Here is a 19,125-nt window from a genome sequence, read left to right on the forward strand (position 1 = left end):
GAGTTCAAGGATGCAGCGAATGATGATTGGGCCACTGTACTCCAACCTGGGCAATAGAGTGAGACCCTGTCTCTATAAATAAATAAAATAAAAATAAAACATTAAGTTGTTTTCAATCTTTTGCTATTACAAGTAAGGCTTGAGCATGTGTATAAATTAAACTTTTAAAAGTGAAATTGCTGAAATAAAAAAAGGGAAATTGCTGGGTCAAAGGGAACATGCATTCAGACAAGTTATAAATGCCACCGTTAAATTATCCTCCATAGAAGTTATCCCAATTACACTCCCAACAACAAAATATGAGCATACCTGTTCAACATCACCCCTCCTTTCCACACAGTATCTTATCAATCATAGATCTTTGCCAATCTGACAGATGAGAAATGGTAATTTCAAAGAAATTCTAATTTGCCTTTATCTTATTATTATAAGTAAGAGTGAGCATTGAAGAGCCATTTCTATTTCTTTTTCTGTGAACTATCAGTTCACATCTTTTGTGCATTTTTCCCCTTGGGTTTTGTTCTTATTGATTTCAGCTCTGAATACAAATATAAACATTATTCATTTTCCTATATGAAATGCATACATATATACATATAGTCATTTGTTATCTGACTCTACTTATGGTGACTTTTGCCTTACATTTTTTATTTCTACATAGCTGAATTTATCAATCTTTTCTGTTATGGCATCTTGGTTTTGTTTTGTACTTATTTATTTATTTATTGAGACGGAGTTTCCCTCTTTTGCCCAGGCTGGAGTACAGCGGCGCAATCTTGGCTCACTGCAACCTCCGCCTCCCGGTTTCAAGGGATTCTCCTGCCTCAGCCTCTGGAGTAGCTGGGATTACCACCATGCCCGGCTAATTTTTGTATTTTTAGTAGAGACGGGGTTTTGCCATGTTGGCCAGGGTGGTCTCGAACTCCTGACCTCATGATGTGCCCACCTCAGCCTCCCAAAGTGCTGGGATTACAGGCATGAGCCACCGTGCCCAGCTCTTGTTTTGTACTTAAGAAGACCTTCCTTACTTTAAGATTCTAAAAAATTCTCCCATGATTCTTTCTTCCAGTATGTTATGGTTTCCTTCTTTCTTTTTTTTTTTCTTTTTTTTTTTTTTTTTTTTTGTGACGGAGTCTCGCTCTGTCGCCCAGGCCGGACTGCGGACTGCAGTGGCGCAATCTCGGCTCACTGCAAGCTCTGCTTCCCGGGTTCACGCCATTCTCCTGCCTCAGCCTCCCGAGTAGCTGGGACTACAGGCGCCCGCCACCGCGCCCGGCTAATTTTTTGTATTTTTAGTAGAGACGGGGTTTCACCTTGTTAGCCAGGATGGTCTCGATCTCCTGACCTCGTGATCCACCCGCCTCGGCCTCCCAAAGTGCTGGGATTACAGGCGTGAGCCACCGCGCCCGGCGCTTCTTTCTTTTTTACTTTTTTTTTTTTTTTTTTTTTTTTTGAGACAGAGTCTCGCTCTGTTGCCCAGGCTGAAGTGCAGTGGCGCGATCTCGGCTCACTGCAAGCTCCGCCTGCCGGGTTCACGCCATTCTCCTGCCTCAGCCTCCCGAGTAGCTGGGACTGCAGGCGTCCGCCACTGCGCCCGGCTAATTTTTTGTATTTTTAGTAGAGACGGGGTTTCACCGTGTTAGCCAGGATGGTCTCGATCTCCTGACCTCATGATCTGCCCACCTCGGCCTCCCAAAGTGCTGGGATTACAAGCGGGAGCCACTGTGCCCGGCTTTTTTTTTTTTTTTTTTTTTGAGACGGAGTCTCACTCGGTCATCCAGGCTGGAGTGCAGTGGCTCGATCTTGGCTCACTGCAATCTCTGCCACCCAGGTTCAAGCGATTCTCTTGTCTCAGCCACCGGAGTAGCTGGGATTACAGCCGTTGCCTGTAATTTTTGTAGTTTTAATAGAGACGGAGTTTCACCATCTAGGTCAGGCTGGTCTTGAACTCCTGACCTTGTGATCCACCTGCCTTGACCTCTCAAAGTGCTGGAAGCCACTGTGCCCGGCCTAATTTTGTATTTTTAGTAGAGATGGGGTTTCACCATCTTGGCCAGGGTGGTCTTGAACTCGACTTCAAGTGATCTGCCTGCCTGGGCCTCCCAAAGTGCTGGAATTACAGGCGTGAGCCACCATGCTCGTTCTTCTTTTTTACATTTTAATATTTGATATATTTGAAATTTGTCTTGGTGAATAGTGTGAAGTATAAATCCAAGTTAAAATTTTCTAGATGTCTATCCAGTTATTCTAACACCAAATACAATTCCAACTTTTGCTTTCTGACTTGAAATGCTACCTTCAGTATTATACTAAATTCCTAGGTAATTTGGATGTATTTTTGATCTGTTTGTGCTTCATTGATTGCAAATCAAGCAAATCAACTGTGACTCCATTCTTTCTTGATTGCAGAACTCTTATTTATTTATTTATTTTTGGAGATAGGGTCTTACTCTGTCACACAGGCTGGAGTGCAGTGGCGTGATGATGCCTCATAGCAGCCTCGACCTCCAGGGCTCAGGTGATCCTCCCACCTCAGTCTCTTGAGTAGCTGAAACTACCACCATGCCCAGCTACTTTTTGGTATTTTTTTGTAGAGATGGGATTTTGCCATTTTGCCCAGGCTGGTCTCAAACTTTTGGTCTCAAACCATCTGCCTGCCTTGGCCTCCCAAAGTGCTGGGATTACAAGTGTGAACCACCTTGGCTGGCTAGAACTCTAATTTTTTTTTCTTTCTTTTTTTTTTTTTTTTTTTTTGAGAAGGAGTCCCTCTCTGTCGCCCAGGCTGGAGTGCAATGGAGTGATCTTGGCTCACTGCAACTTCCGCCTGCCGGGTTCAAGCGAGTCTCCTGCCTCAGCTTCCTGAGTAGCTGGGACTACAGGTGCGCACCGCTACACCCAGCTAATTTCTTTTGTATTTTTAGTAGAGATGGAGTTTCACCATGTTGGCCGGGCTGGTCTTGATCTCCTAACCTCATGATCCACCCACCTCAGCCTCCTAAAATGCTGGGATTACAGGCCTGAGCCACCACACCCAGCCCAGAACTCTAATTTTTAATGACGATTTTCCTCCACTACAAGGAAGTCCTTAGGGAAAGTAACTCACAGATCAGACGGAGAGTAAATCATGATTGGTCTAAGCTACTATTGTTGGTCCTATTCTCTTTGGTATTTATTGGCTTATCCATGGTACTTGAGGGGAAGTCTATTGAGTAACTACTAAGAAAAATTGTAGCTTACTAGACATATAAGGGGATATGTTTAGCTGGCAGTTAGATATTTAAGTATGAAATTCAGAATGCAGATATAATTTTGGGGTTATCACAGCATAGATAATATTTAAAGTAATGTGTTGGGATAAGATTATCAAGGAGTGTACATGCAAAAGACAAAAAGTCGAAATATTGAGCCTTGGGGTACTACAGTATTTAGAGGTCAGAGAAATGAGGAGAAACTAGGAGCAGCCAGTGAGATAGAAGACCCGAGGGGGTGAAATGTCATGGTAGCCAAGGAGGGGGAAGTAATGAGCTGTGTCTAGTGATGTTGGTAGGTCAAGTAACACGAGGACTGAGAATTGACTGGTGTCAGCAAATGGACACCACTAGTGACCTTGACAAGGGCATTTCAGTGGAGTGGAGGAGGTAAAAGCTTAACCAGAGAGGATCTCACCGAAAATGAGAAAAAGGAAGTCAAGGCCAGGCGAGGTGGCTCATGCCTGTAATCTCAGCATTTTGGGAGGCCAAGGCAGGCAGATTGCTTGAGCTCAGGAGTTCAAGACCAGCCTAGGCAACATGATGAAACCTCATCTCCACAAAAAATACAAAAATTAGTTGGACGTGGTGGCACATGCCTGTAGTTCCAGCTACTTGGGAGGCTGAAGTGGGAGGATTGCTTGAACCCAGGAGGCTAAGGTTGCAGTGAGCTGAGATCGCACCACTGCACTCCAGCCTAAGCAACAGAGTGAGACCATGTACAAGCCACCTTTGTGAGACATTTTGCAGAAAAGAGAATGGAGAAATGGGGCAGTAGGTGGGGGGTCAAGTCCAGTCAAGAGAGGGTTTTTTTTTTTTTTTTGAGGTGGAGTCTCGCTCTGTTGCCCAGGCTAGAGTGCAGTGGCGTGATCTTGGCTCACTGCAACCTAAGGAGGGTTTTTTTGTTTGATTGTTTTAAGATGGAAGAAATAAAATCATGTTGCTATAGCAATGAGAGGTAATAGCAGAAAAATAGCGATGTAGGTGAGAGGAAGAATTGCTGGATAGGTGTCTTTGAGAAAGTGACGTGGTATGAGACCTAGTACTTGAGCTCCTCAAAGTGTCATCAATGGACTAGTGACCATCTAGAAATGGTTTTTCACCAGTTTGTGACAGCAATTCAGAATTAATATTTTGAAACTTTTATAACAATTTGACAGAAAAATGTTACGCGTGTTGGGTTTAATAATAAAAATTCTGCCTAGAGTAGTCAAATTCATAGAGATAGAAAGCAGAACAGTGATGGCGAGGGATTGGGGGAAGTTAGGAATGGGGAGTTATTGTTTAATGAGTACAAGCTTTCAGCTTTGCAAGATAAAAAAGTTCTGGAGGCCTGGCACATTGGCTCACGTCTGTAATCCTAGCACTTTAGAAGTCTGTGGCAGGAGGATTACTTGAGCCTAGGAGTTTGAGACAAACCTGGGCAACACAGTGAGACCTTGTCTCTACAAAAAAAAAAAAAAAAAAAGGTAGCCAGGCGTGGTGGTATGTGCCTGTAGTTCTAGCTGCTTAGGAGGCTGAGGTGGGAGGATCGCTTCAGCCCAGGAGTTTGAGGCTGAGTGAGCCGTGATTGTGCCACTGTACTCCTGATGGGTGACAGGGTAAGAACTTGTCTCAATAAATAAATAAATAAATAAATAAAAGAAAAAATAAAAAGTTCTGGAGCTTCTTGATGGGGATGGTTGCACAACAATGTGAATGTATTTAATACCATTGAACTGTACACTTTAAAATGGTTAAGCAGGTTTAAAAAATCTGGGCTTGCATTTTGGATGCTTGTTTTTAAATTTTAATTTTTTCTAGTAATTAATTTTGATTGTATTTTACAGAAATTTAGTTTTGTGATTGGGGATAAAATCTGGGTCTTTTAGCACAGATGCTTGAGAACTGAGGAGGATTTGATGTTAGCTAAAAGACAAATAATTAACTTGTAGTAAGGAAAGGAAGGCAGAGAGAGCATCAAAGCAGAGTTACAGGTTCGTTGGAAGTCATGGTGGGTGCTGGGAACTTGTAGATGTTCTTTTTGGTTTGTTTGATTTTCTTGTGAATTAGAAGCAAAATCATCAGCTAAATGAGATGAGGGAGGAAGTGTCGGAGGTTTGAAGAGACAGGAGACTTGAAATAGTTATGTAGCAAGGTGGGAGAGTGTGTGAAACTGGAGAAATGTGGTAGGGTAGCCACTCATTATGGCCTCTTGAGAATAATGATCTCAAATTTACGGGGAGTCAGTCAACCACTTTTGGCTTTTTCTCCACCCACTCCATTGCTGGAGTTCTGTCAGTACAAAGAAAGCAGAGAACGACTAGAGAAATGAAGGTAATACTGAAGAAATCGACTTCATGTACCTCATGTACTCACTTTCTTCCCCAAACAGCTTAGATTCTATTAGATTCCATTTCATGACGGACGATAGAATCTAAGCTGTTTCAGGAAGAAAGTGAGTACATAAGGCCAGCGTGGGGAGGAATAGCGAAAAGGTAGTTGGATCAATGGATTTGGGGTCTTGGAGTTGAAGTTTTTGGAGTTGGAGTATTATCAGACAGAGTGAGCTAGAAAGGAAGAAGGTTGTGGCCGGGCGCAGCGGCTCACGCCTGTAATCCCAGCACTTTGGAAGGCCAAGGCAAGCGGATCACCTGAGGTCAGGAGTTCGAGACCAGCCTGGCCAACATGGTGAAGCCACTTCTCTACTAAAAATACAAAAATTAGCCGGGTGTGGTGCCGGGTGTTTGTAATCCCAGCTACTCGGGAGGCTAAGGCAGGAGAATCACTTGAACCCGGGAGGTGGAGGTTGCAGTGAGCCAAGATCGCACCACTGCACTCCAGCCTGGGCAACAAGAGCGAAACTCCATCTCAAAAAAAAAAAAAAAAAAGAAAGAAAGAAAGAAAGAAAGAAAGGAAGAAGGTTGCAATGGGAGTTAGAGGATTAAAATTGAGATTGTAGAGAAGTTACAATTATTCGTATGAGCATGAGAGTGAGAGGCTGAGCCAAGAATGATCCCTAGAGAAGAATCTGAGAGGCCAGAGGATTGGAAGAATTAAGCGAATTTTGAAATAACCAAGAGTTATGACAATAGTAGTAATGAATGACAGTGAACCAGAAGCCCAAATCTTAGAGAATGATGGTGAATGACAGAGGAGTCTATAGGTGACCGAAGTGAGCGATGCTCTAATCTCTCGTCATGATGTAATATTTAAAGCTTTTCATATTTTGAAGGGATGCTAGGATTTGGGGGTGTGTGGCTCCTTTAAGGGCCTGGGAGGGGGAGAAGCTGGAGGTCGGGCTGGGGGGGGCGGGACCCCCTCGTCTGAGTCTGCGCATTGAGAGCGGAGGCGGGTCCAGGCGCGGGCTCGCGCGCCCGGGCGGGTCCTCGCGGGGGCGGAGTCTGCGCTCTGGTTCGGGCTGCGGCTGCGGCTGCGGCTGCGGCTGCTACTGCTACGCTCCTAGCTTGAGGGAAAGAGGCCGAGGCCTGGGCCAAGCCCGGAGCCGCCGCTCGCCGGAGCCTCCTGGAGCCTCCGCGCCGGCTCAGCCTGGGGGCGGGCTCCGGTCCGGCCCGCCGCCGCACCCAGGACGGAGGCTGCATGCCCGAGGACCAGGCCGGCGCAGCCATGGTGAGGGAGCAAGGCCTGCCCTAGCCGCAGCCGCCCGCCACCCTAGCCCCCGCCCGTCGCGCTGGCCCCTGCGGTCTTGCCCCTCCCTGTCTCTGGTGTCCCCTCGGGCTCCCTGCCTTTACCTCTCTCCCTCGTTACCGCCCCCTCGGTGTTCAGCTCCTCCTTCCCCATTCACCTGCTTCGGTGAACCCCTTTAGGTGACACCCCCTGAATCTCCCTTCTCCCCGATGACATCCTTTTTATCACCCCCAGTGACAGCCTTTTTCGCATTCCCTTTGTCGCCCACTCCTTGTCCTTTAACCCTAACCCTTCCTTTCTTTCTCCTCTATCATTTTGCCTTTTTTCCTCTTATGTGATTTTTACTTTCCCCCCTTTCCTCCCTAGTTTTCGCTGCTCTTCCTTGCTCTTCTCACCCCTCTTCACCATTTTATCTCCACTGCCCCCTTCTCTCCGTGTTCCTTCTCCCCTTCGTCCTCTTCCATCCACGTTTCCTCTTCCCTTATCGGATGTCCTCGCTCGGTTCGCCGTCGCAGCTGTCCCCATTTCCTTCTACGGGCTTCAGGGGTCTAAGCAGGAACAATTTGAGGACTGTTGCTTCCCGGGAGCTGTAGGGCGGGCAGATAGGGATTTATAGGTTTGCTTCTTCCTTTTCGTTTTTGGAGGCATTGAAGAGATCCTGGAAGCCTATTCACCTAGTGTCATTGCAAAATCGAAGTGGTGGTGTGTTACAGAGCAGTGAAGTGAGGGCCAGCATGCATACTGTGACCTCAGGAGAGATCTAGTCTTTTGACAGAAATAGCTAAAAAATGTTTTGAATTTTTTTTATTTTGAGCATCTTTTAATGTGGAGGTGCAGTTGGAGAAGTTTAAAAATACTTATTTACAAGCTTGGCTATTATTACTAAAAACAAATGATTTGTTTTCATTTGGAGGCAGAGACCAAGGGCATTTGAGGACTGACAATCAGGTTGGCAGGTTGTGACAGTCTCTTTAAACCTTCTAAAGAGTTCATTTGTTTTGCCCTGTCTGCCTTTAGTTGGGAGAACCTTATATTTGCAAATTTTCTTTCTGTCTGAAAATAGGTTGAGGCTTCAGTTGGTTTTTTCATTGAGTTGGGTTATAAGTGGTTTGCTGTACATTTATTGAAAACATTGCTCCATCATATGCAACAAGCTAAATTTTGGTCTCTGGGAGGAATAAGGCAAAACTAAGTCCTGATAATTATGTTCCCCTAGGAGGTTAGTCAGTTTCTTTTTTTCCCTCCAGCAGTTTTTTAGAAAAGTAATATACTATAAAATTATTTAATCTATGAATTTTCCCTAACTCACTCCTGCATTTTTAGTCTGTCATTTTCCTGTGTTTGTCTCCTTCACTTTCACACACTGTTGTTGTATGCTAACCTGTTTCTCCCTGTGGAATGTAAGTTCTAGGTAGCAACCGTTCCTTACTTATTATTCCAAGTGCCCAGGCCAGCTAGGTGCTTGAATGATTCACTTTATGGTCTCATTTCCCACCTGACTAATATAAACTTAAACTGAAATTTGAGGTAACTAGTGGACTACACAGAAAGAGTGAGTTTGAGAATTGTTGTTTGGAGACGATCTTGCTCTGTGGCCCAGGCTGGAATGCAGTGGCACAATCATGGCTCTTTGCAACCTTGAACTCCTGAGGTCAAGTGATCTTCCCACCTCAGCCTCACAAGTAGCTGGTACCACAGGCACGGACTACCGTGCCCCGCTAATTTGTAAAACTTTTTGTAGAAATGGAGTCTTGCTGTGTTGCCCAGTCTGGTCTTGACCTCCTGGATTCAAGCCATCCTCCCACCTTGGCCTCCCAAAGTGCTAGAATTACAGGCATGAGCCATCACGCCTGGGCAGAGAATCTTAATTTTGATGCAAAAATGATATTGAGTGAGGTATGATGATATACTTTTCAGAATAAAGAGCTATCCTACCTAAGACATTACACTGCTAGATTTTTGAAAGTGTGGGCCCTTCCATTGAGAATGAATGTATGAGAGGGAGGAGTTATGAACTCCCCTTTGAGGTATTTAGGATCTAAAAGTGTCCTTTGAGCTGGGCCTGAAAGTTGAATAGGATTTATATAGATCATTTTGGGAAGGGGAAGAATGCCTCATTGTGAATGTGAGTAGCAAGTAGAAAGGATCCCCTCACAGGGATTTTTTTTTTTTTAAGAAAGAAAGTAGGAAGGAATTAGGATGCATTGTAGGAAGTAGTATTACCCTTATATAGCATGGAAGGATGCAAGAATGGAGATGTGTAGTAGGAAATGAGGCTAGCAAGATACTGTCTTAGCCCATTCAATCTACTGTAACAAAATACCATAAACTAGGTAGCTTGTCAGCAACAGAAATTTATTTCTCAGAGTTTGGAAGGCTGGGAAGTCCAAAATCAGTTCCCCAGTGGATTCAGTGTCTCGTGAGGGCTCTTCCTAAGTCACCTTTTCACTGTTTTCACACATGGTGGCAGGGGCCAGGCAGCTCTCTGGAGTCTCTTTTATAAGGGCACTAATCCCATTCATGTGGGCACTAACTGGTGATCTAATCACCTCCCAAAGGCCCCACCTCCTCATACCATTACCTTGGGGGTTAGGATTCCAACATATGAATTTAGGGAGACAGAATTCAGACCACAGCAGACATATTAGGCATGATTATGTTTTAAACTTTGCATCTAATTAACTTGATTTTTCCTTGCTTGTTAAAACATATACACACAGAGTAACAGTGTATGTATGGGAGAGGTGAGGAGAAGGCAGAATATTAGCTTATTTTGAGCTAGGAATTATCAGTAGAGGCCACTTTCTCGTGCAATATTTTTGTAGATAATAAATACAGTTGAATGAATGATTATTATAAAGCTTTGTATTTTATATTTGTTAAATGTTAATTAGGTTGTGTTTGAATAGTTGAGATGTTTAAGATGTCAGGAGTTCGAGACCAGCCTGGCCAACATGGCAAAGCCTCGTCTCTACTAAAAATACAAAAATTAGCTGGGTGTGGTGGCACATGCCTGTAATCCCAGCTACTCGGGAGGCTGAGGTAGGAGAATCACTTGAACCCAGGAGGTGGAGGTTGCAGTGAACTGAGGGCAGGGCCTGAGAGGTGGCAGTTCTTTTTTTTTTGAGGCAGGGTCTTGCTCTGTCCCTAAGCTGAAGTGCAGTGGCATGATCACAGCTCACTGCAGCCTTGACTTCCCAGGCTCAAGCGATCCTCTCACCTCAGCCTCCCAAGTAGCTGGGACCACAGGTGCCCATCATCACACCTGGCTAATTTTTATATGTTTTGCAGAGATGGGGTTTCGCCATGTTGCCTAGGCTGGCCTCAAACTCCTGGGCTCCAGTGATCCTCCTGCCTCAGCCTCCCAGAGTGCTGGAATTATAGACGTGAACTACTACAAAAGTTTGCATTTCTGTCAAAACCCACATAATGCTGATGCTGCTGGTCTGTGAACCACAATTTGAGAACTACTGGTCTAAGACATAGTCCTTACTTTTAATTAATCTAATAATGTTTTTGGAGTGTCTTTGACTGTGTTGACACTGGGGAAATGACAGATAGTAAAATAGATGTGACCTCTGGCATTTTTCATCTCATGTATATAGAGTAATTTTATTTTATTATGTATTTATTTATTTATTTTGAGATAGGGTCTGGCTCTGCCGCCTAGACTGGAGTGCAGCGGCGTGATTACGGCTCATTGCAGCCTCAAACCCCTAGGCTCAAGCAGTCCTTCCAGCTCAGCCTCCCAAGTAAAGCTAGGACTTCAAGTGTGCTCTATTATGTGCAGCTGATTTTTTGTTTTTGTGTAGAGAAGAGATCTCCCTGTGTTGGCCAGGCTGGTACCAAACTTCTGGCCTCCAGGGATCTTCCCGCTTTGGCCTCCCAAAGTGCTGGGATTACAGGCACAAGCCACTGCATCCAGCCTTCATACAGTAATTTTAAATGTGAAGAGTTTTAATATATCTTGAGTGTGCTGAAAAAGGACAAGTTGATAGCTGGGCATGGTGGTGCATGCCTGTAGTACCATCTGCTCTAAAGCCTGAGGTGGGAGGCTCACTTGAGCCCAGCAGTTCAAGGCTGCATTGAGTTATGATCATGCCACTGCACTCCAGCCTGGGCAACAGAGCGAGACCTCATTAAAAAAAAAAAAAAATAGAAAGGAAAGAAAAGAGAAGTTGTGGAATAATGGAATGGAATAGTTAGGAGTAGCTTTGCAGAGGGTCTTACTTTCAAGTAGAGAACTGAGGGATTAAATTGTAGGAGTTATGTAAAGAATAGTCCAGATAGGCTGGGTGCAGTGGCTCATGCCTGTAATCCCAGCAGTTTGGGAGGCCGAGGTGGGTGAATCACCTGAGGTCAGGAGTTCAAGACCAGCCTGACCAATATGGAGAAACCCCGTCTCTACTAAAAATGCAAAAATAAGCTGTGCATGGTGGCAGGTGCCTGTAATCCCAGCTACTCGGGAGGCTGAGGCAGGAGAATTGCTTGAACCCGGGAGGTGGAGGCTGCAGTGTGAGCTGCGATTGTGCCACTGCACTCCAGCCTGGGCAACAGAGTGAGGCTCCATCTCAAAAAAAAAGAAAAAAAAAAAAAAGAGTCCAGACAGAAGGAGCAGCATGTGCAAATGACCTGTGGTGATACTCTCTCTTGCCTGCCTAACTCTAACATATCCTGGAGTTCTCCATTCAAGGAACTCAGGGAAACGCTGTCCAAAAAACCTAGGTCACTCTCCTCTTTATTATGTAGCACTTTTTCATAGAATACATAGCAACAGGAATTTTATATTTCTTACTGTAATTATTTGATTAGAGTCTCTTTCCATGTCCAGAATATAAAAATCATTGATAAAGAGATGATTTTTGACCAGCTCCTAAGGGCTAGGTGATGTTCTAGGCACTGTGATTACAGAAGTGAAAAAAAGACATGGGGTACAGGGAGGGGATACACAATAAATACACCTATAAATGTATAATGACAATAGTTATATAATAAATACTAAGAAAAAATAAACCAGGCTAAGATATAAAGTGATATTGTGTGTGTGTGAGAGGGCAACTATTTTAGATGGGATGGTTAAGCAGCAACACTAATAGCTTTTATTTATTTATTTATTTTTGAGACAGGATCTCACTCTGTCACCCAGGCTGGAGTTCAGTGGTGCAACCACGGCTTGCTGCAGTCTCGACCTCCCAGGCCCAAGCCATCCTCCCGCCTCATCCAACTCAAGCAGCTGGGACTACAGGCGTGCAGTACCACGCCAGGCTAATTTTTGTATTTCTGTAGAGATGGGGTTTCACCATGTTGCCCAGGCTGCTCTCAAACTCCTGGACTCACGTGATCTGCCCACTTTGGCTTCCCAAAGTCCTGGGATTACAGGCCTGAGCCATCGTGCCCAGCCTATTTTTTTCTTATGACAGTGACATTTTGAACTAAAAAGATGGAAGTTATTATTAGTATCAGTAAATGTGTTCTTGAAACTTGAAAAAGGATGTGTGTAGGGGAATCAATAAATAAATTGAAATCCCTTCCAAGCTTATGCTTTTGAACCATAAGTCTGAGCAGTCTCAGGCCAGTATGAATCAGAGTTATTCAGAAGCACAAGTGGAGAAATGTCCTACAATAGGAGGGAAATCTTACTAAATTTCCTTCTTGCTTAAAAGAAAATTATATCTTGTATACAGAGATTAAATATTAACACTAGTGGCATTCTGTATCTCCCCCTATTATTAGACATATAATTTATTAGCTGACTAAAATTCTAAATTAATAATTTGGCCGGGTGTGGTGGCTCACGCCTGTAATCCCAGCACTTTGGGAGGCCAAGGCAGACGGATCACGAGGTCAAGAGATTGAGACACTGTGATTACAGAGGTTAAAAAAAGACACCCCGTCTCTACTAAAAATAGAAAAACTAGCTGAGCGTGGTGGCACACACCAGTAGTCCCAACTACTCAGGAGTCTGAGGCAGGAGAATCGCTTGAACCCGGGAGGCAGAGGTTGCAGTGAGCCGAGATTGTGCCACTGCACTCCAGCCTGGCGACAGAGCAAGACTCTGTCTCAAAAAAAAAAGGCCACCCTGGCCAATGTGGTGAAACCCTGTCTCTACTAAAAATACAAAAATTAGCCGAGCGTGGTGGCGGGTGCCTGTAATCCCAGCTACTCCGGAGGCTGAGGCAGGAGAATCACTTGAACCCGGGGGGCGCGGAGGTTGCAGTAAGCTGAGATCGAGCCATTGCACTCCAGCCTGGGCAAAAAGAGTGAAACTCCATCTCAAAAAAAAAAAATTATTAACCCAACATAGGAGGTTATTTTCCTTAGATAAAGCTCATGCGTGGAAGCAATTGTATACAAAGACAGAATTATTTCCTATTTCAGTAAAATTTACAAACAAGCCTCAGCTAGTTCTCTGTAGGATCATCATTCTAGTCATTTTCAGAGTATCTTGCATTGAATTTCTGTACGTAAAATTATCTTAAGTTACTGAGAAAGTTTTATCAGATTTTACTCTGTGGTAAAATTTGTATATCAAACCTTTTATAGGTTCCCTGATTTCAAAATAATAGTAATATCTCTTAAATAGAATGTTAGTTTTTATTCTTTTTTATTAAATGTGTTTGTTCTAGAGGTCATGCTTAATGATTTCCAAGAGTATATTTTTTGTATAGTTTTTGTGAGGCTGGGCATGGTGGCTCACGCCTGTAATCCACATCTATAATCCCAACACTTTGGGAGACAAAGGTGGGTGGATTGCTTGAGCCCAGGAGTTCGAGACCAGCCTGGACAAGATAGTGAGACCCTATCTCTACACAGAATGAAAAAATTAGCGCACATCTGGGGTCTCAGCTACACAGGATGCTGAGGTGGGAGGATTGCTTGAGCCTAGGAGGTTGAAGCTGCAGTGAGCAGGGTTCACACCACTGCACTCCAGGCTGGGCAACAGAGCAAGACACTGTAAGATCAATCAATCAATCAATCAGAGATATCTTGATGTATCATTTAAGAATCATGATCAGATAAATGTACTCATTCTTGTATTTCATCATCAATGTACTTATATTTCTTGTCTTTAACAGTTTGTTATACAAAGAAAAGCTACTGCATTCAGTGTTCAGATTAAGTTATAACAATGCAATGACTTTATCATGAGCCATTCTCCTAATTCCCACTAATTGACACACATTCAGTAGATAAATTGTTGGATACTCTCAAACTATTCTATTTTTATAAAGGAGAAAATTTTAGATAATTATTAAATATTCAAAAATATACAAATTGAAATAGACATAATTTTTTTTTGTTTTGTTTTTTCATAGTGACAGGGTCTTGCTCTGTGGCCCAGGCTGGAGTGCAGGGGCGTAATCATAGCTCACTATAACCATGAACTCCTGGGCTTAGATGATCTCTTGCTTCATCCTCCTGAGTTGCTGGGACCACAGGCATATGCCAGCATGCCCAGCTAATTTTTTTTATTTTTGTAGAGGTAGGGTCTAGATTATGTTGCCAGGCTGGTCTCAAACTCCTGGGCTCAAGTGATCCTACTGCCTCAGCCCATCAAAGTGCTGGGATGTCAAGCCATGAGCCCGGCAGACATCAATATTGAATGTAATGATGTGAGCCTGTAGATGAATTGGGAAATGCTGGCTAAAACACTGCTTTTTTCATAGGTCCTAAAACTAGCTCTTAAAGTATATTTAATAAGCGGTAGAAATAGTCATTATTAACAATGGAATAAAAGGTTTTTTTTTTTAAAGAGTCTCAATCTGTTGCCATCTCAAAAAAAAATAAAAAATAAAAAATTAGCTGGGTGTGGTAGCGCATGCCTGTGATACCAGCTACTCAGAAGGCTGAGGCAGGAGAACCACTTGAACCTGGGAGGCGGAGGTTGCAGTGAGCCGAGATCGCGCCATTGCACTCCAGCCTGGGCAACAAGAGTGAAACTCTGGCTCCAAAAAAAAAAAAAGTGATTTGGCAGTATGAGTTCAAGAACCACAAAATTGTACACACTCTCTGACCAATTTTCTTTTTCTTTTTCTTTTATTTTGAGATGGAGTTTCGCTCTTGTTGCCCAGGTTGGAGTGCAATGGTGCAATCTGGGCTCAACACAACGTCCACCTCCCGGGTTCAAACGATTTTCCTGCCTCAGCCCCCCGAGTAGCTGGGATTACAGGCATGTGCCACCGTGCTCAGCTAATTTTTGTATTTTTGGTAGAGACAGGGTTTCTCCATGTTGGTCAGGCTTGTCTTGAACTCCTGACCTCAGGTGATCCGCCCGCCTTGGCTTCCCAAAGTTTTGGGATTACAGGTATGAGCCACTGCGCCCGGTCCAAATCACTTTTTTTTTTTTTGAGACGGAGTTTCTCTCGTTGCCCAGGCTGGAGTGCAATGGCGCGATCTCGGCTCACCGCAGCCTCCGCCTCCCAGGTTCAAGCGGTTCTCCTGCCTTAGCCTCCCTAGTAGCTGGGATTACAGGCATGTGCCACCATGCCTGGCTAATTTTGTATTTTTAGTAGAGAGGGGTTTCTCCATGTTGGTCAGGCTGGTATCGAACTCCCAACCTCTGGTGATCCGCCTGCCTCGGCCTCCCAGAGTGCTGGGATTACAGGCATGAGCCACCGTGCCCGGCCCAAATCACTTTTCTAAAGCACTTTGAAGAACAATATGTCTTCAGCACTTAAGTATTTCTTTGACAAACTTAATGCTACAAGTATTATTCTCACACTAAGTAATTGTGATTAAGATTTTTCAGGCTCATAAATGAAAGAAAAAGAAATTGTATAGTAACTAGGCAAGGGTGGAATGAGAAAAGACTGGAGGCGTGCCACTCTTCCTACTCAGAATTTTTTTTATTTTGAGACAGAGTCTCTCTCTGCCACCCAGACTGGAGTGCAGTGGCGCGATCTCGGCTCACTGCAGCCTCCGCCTCCCGAGTTCAAGTGATTCTCCTGCCTCAGCCTTCTGAATAGCTGGAACTACAGGCGCCCACTGCCATGCCCGGCTAATTTTTGTATTTTTTAGAAGAGATGGGGTTTCACTATGTTGGCTAGGCTGGTCTCGAACTCCTGACCTCAAGTGATCTGCCTGCCTTGGTCTTCCTACTCAGAAGTTTTAAATTCCTCCCTATTGTCTGAGACAATAGACCCTGTGAAGATACCTTTTTAACACTGAAAACCTTGAGAGACAGGACAGTAACATACTTTCAGAACATATTAATTGTGGGGGAGAAAAAGCAAAAAGCAGGTCCAGTAGGAATTCAGTAATATTTTAAAATGATACTCTGTTAAGTCTAACATCTATTATGCATTAAAAATATCAAGATATTATTGTGTACAGAGTGTACTTGATATGCATGGGAATTTGTGAACTCCTTAAGATCCTTGTGGAGCCTGCAGTTTCGGCCCTGCTAGTTTACAGTGGTCTTACAGGGCTGCTGTGCTATACAGATTGTACTGCACAATTCAGCTAACAGCCATTCATATAGACAGCAGTGAATCTACAGAGATCTGTATCCTGTGTACTTGGTGATGTCTAGCACATAGTAGGGACTCAGCAAATAGTTGTTGAATGAAAGTGTTTTATTTATTTATTTATTTATTGAGACAGAGTTTCTCTCTGTCACCCAAGCTGAAGTGCAGTGGCGTGATCTCAGCTCACTAGAACCTCTGCCTCCCGGGATCAAGTGATTCTCCCACCTCAGCCTCCTGAGTATCACAGGCATGCACTACCATGCCCAGCTAATTTTTTTCTTTTTCTTTTTTTTCTTTTTTTTGAGATGGATTCTTGCTCTGTCACCCAGGCTGGAGTGCAGTGGCACCATCTCGGCTCACTGCAACCTCGGCCTCCCAGGTTCAAGCAATTCTCCTGCCTCAGCCTCCTGAGTAGCTGGGATTACAGGCACCTGCCACCATGCCCAGCTAATTTTTGTATTTTTAGTAGAGATGAGGTTTCACCATGTTGGCCAGGCTGGTCTCGAACTCCTGACCTCAGGTGATCCGCCCACCTTGGCCTCCCAAAGTGCTGGGATGACAGGCGTGAACCACCACGCCTGGCTAATTTTTGTATTTTTTAGTAGAGACGGGGTTTTGCCATGTTGGTCAGGCTGGTCTCGAACTCCTGTCCTCAAGTGATCTGCCCCCTTTGGCCTCCCAGAGTGCTGGGATTACAGGTGTGAGCCGCTGTGCCTGGCCTGAAAGTGTTTTATGTAGTATACTAGGACCTTTATGATCTGATCTTTTTTACTGCTTTAGCCTTATTTCTCATTTTATGAGAAAAAATCTTTACATTTTATGCTCAGTAATACTGCATGAACATTATGCTGTTTTTTGTGCCTCTAAGTTTTGCTTACACTGTTTCTTTTGCCTGGAATGCTGGGGTTTCACCATGTTAGCCAGGCTGGTCTCTAACTCCTGACCTCAAGTGATCCACCCACCTCGGCCTCCCAAAGTGCTGGCATTACAGGCGTGAGCCATTGTGCCTGGTACTACTTCTTAATTATTAAACCTTCAAGTGTCCCTTTATGCCCTACCTCCTTTGTGAAGGCTTTGGTTGCCTCCAGGAAACCTTGGGTTAGGCATTTCTGTATGCCTCTCCTGTACAGTGTATGTGCCCTGGTTATAGCAGTTGTTTTCTGTGGTATTATTATTTGTTAATGAGGCTGGCTGTGTCTCCAGATTGTGAGCTCTTTGAGGGCAGGACAGTGCTGTGTTTTTACAGTTTCATGTCATAAGCACTTAGCATAGTGCTTGACATGTAGTAAGTACTTATCAATATTGAACTGAACAATATTGGCTGGTGGTGGCTCACGCCTGTAATCTCAGCACTTTGGGAGGCCGAGGCGGGCGGATCACCTGAGGTCAGGAGTTCAAGACCACCTGGCTAACATAGTGGGAGCCCATGTCTACTAAAAATACAAAAATCAGCTGTGCGTGGTGGCATGCCTGTAATCCCAGCTATTTGGGAGGCTGAGGCAAGAGAATTGGTTGAACCCAGGAGACAGGTTGCAGTGAGCCAAGATCGTGCCACTGCACTCCAGCCTGGGCAACAAGAGCAAAACCCTGTCTCAAAAAAAACACAACAATACTGAGCAGTATGATGTTTCATCAGTGTGTGTTTGATAGAGAATTGCATAAGGTAATGTTAACTGAGATGTTGTGATAGATGAAAAAAATTGAACACTCTGTACAGGTCCCCTGAGGGGAAAAGAGGTTGGGTAGGTGAGAAATGTTAGATCAGATAGTTTCTTTTACTAGCCTAAATGGCACTTTTGACCTAGGATAAATGTTCTGTCCACAAGGATTTAACAGGAAGAGCTGAGAAGACAGCCTCCTGATTTTGAGATGAATTGCGAAGCAGTATCCCTTTGTATAAACACTTGAAAGTCACTTGTCTATATAATTTGTAGAGGTGTTCTTCCAGAGAGTAGAATGTTTAAACTCAGATAATAAATAATCAGTTACTGCTAAATCTAGAGGGGTGGTTAATTCTTTTAAAAACTTTTATTAACTTTTTCTTTATTTTTATTTTTTTGAGACAAGGTCTTCACTCTGTCGCCCAGGCTGGAGTACAGTGGTGGCATCTTGGCTCACTGCAGCCTCAGCCTCCTAAGTGGCTGGGACTACAGGTGTTTGACACCATGCCCGGCTAATTTTGGTACTTTTTTAGTAGAGTCCGGGTTTCACCATGTTGGCCAGGCTAGTCTCCAACTCCTAAGCTCAAGTGATCTGCCCGCCTCGGCCTCCCAAAGTGCTGAGATTACAGGCATGAGCCACTACACCTGGCCTTAATAGCTTTATATAAAGATCTTTTGTTTTTTCTGTTATCTTCAGTTCTCCTTTGTATAAATGTTTTTCTTAGCTTTCCAGTGTCTTAATGCCTATTCAATGTCATATTTTTCTTTTCTAAGGACTTTTTTTTTTTTTTGAGATGGAGTTTCACTCTTGTTATCAAGGCTGGAGTGCAATGGTGTGATCTTGGCTCACCGCAACCACTGCCTCCCCACAACCTCACCTCCCAAGTTCAAGTGATTCTCCTGTCTCAGCCTCCTGAGTAGCTGGGATTACAGGCATGCACCACCACACCTGGCTAATTTTGTATTTTTAGTAGAGACGGGGTTTCTCCATGTTGGTCTCAAACTCCCGACCTCAGGTGATCCGCCCACCTTGGCCTCCCAAAGTGCTAGGATTACAGGTGTGAGCCACCATGCCCGGCCAGGACTTTTTTTTTTAAAGCTGGAATATTCTTGGTTATATAA

General features: G+C 44.1%; 1 protein-coding gene across 3 annotated transcripts in view, besides 1 other annotated feature; it reads left to right on the forward strand.

The window, feature by feature from the left end:
• Positions 6,438 to 7,017: a silencer, noted in NCBI's record as "silent region_898". NCBI's record gives its function as "represses an Ori minimal core promoter by ATAC-STARR-seq in GM12878 lymphoblastoid cells {active_cell/tissue: GM12878}" and the evidence as "EXISTENCE:reporter gene assay evidence [ECO:0000049][PMID:35858748]".
• The window catches only part of ZYG11B (zyg-11 family member B, cell cycle regulator), a 100,884-nt gene continuing 88,385 nt past the window's right edge, over positions 6,627 to 19,125 (forward strand). For all 3 annotated transcript variants that reach the window (NR_199864.1, NM_001441954.1, NM_024646.3), the window contains exon 1: positions 6,627 to 6,857. Coding sequence is in view for 1 of the 3 variants with exons in the window: in NM_024646.3 (NP_078922.1) it covers positions 6,828 to 6,857 (30 nt within the window). In the remaining 2 variants the exon portion in view is untranslated. The remainder of the gene's footprint in view (positions 6,858 to 19,125) is intronic.

This window comes from Homo sapiens, chromosome 1, assembly GCF_000001405.40.
Source record: "Homo sapiens chromosome 1, GRCh38.p14 Primary Assembly".
Lineage (NCBI taxonomy): Eukaryota > Metazoa > Chordata > Mammalia > Primates > Hominidae > Homo > Homo sapiens.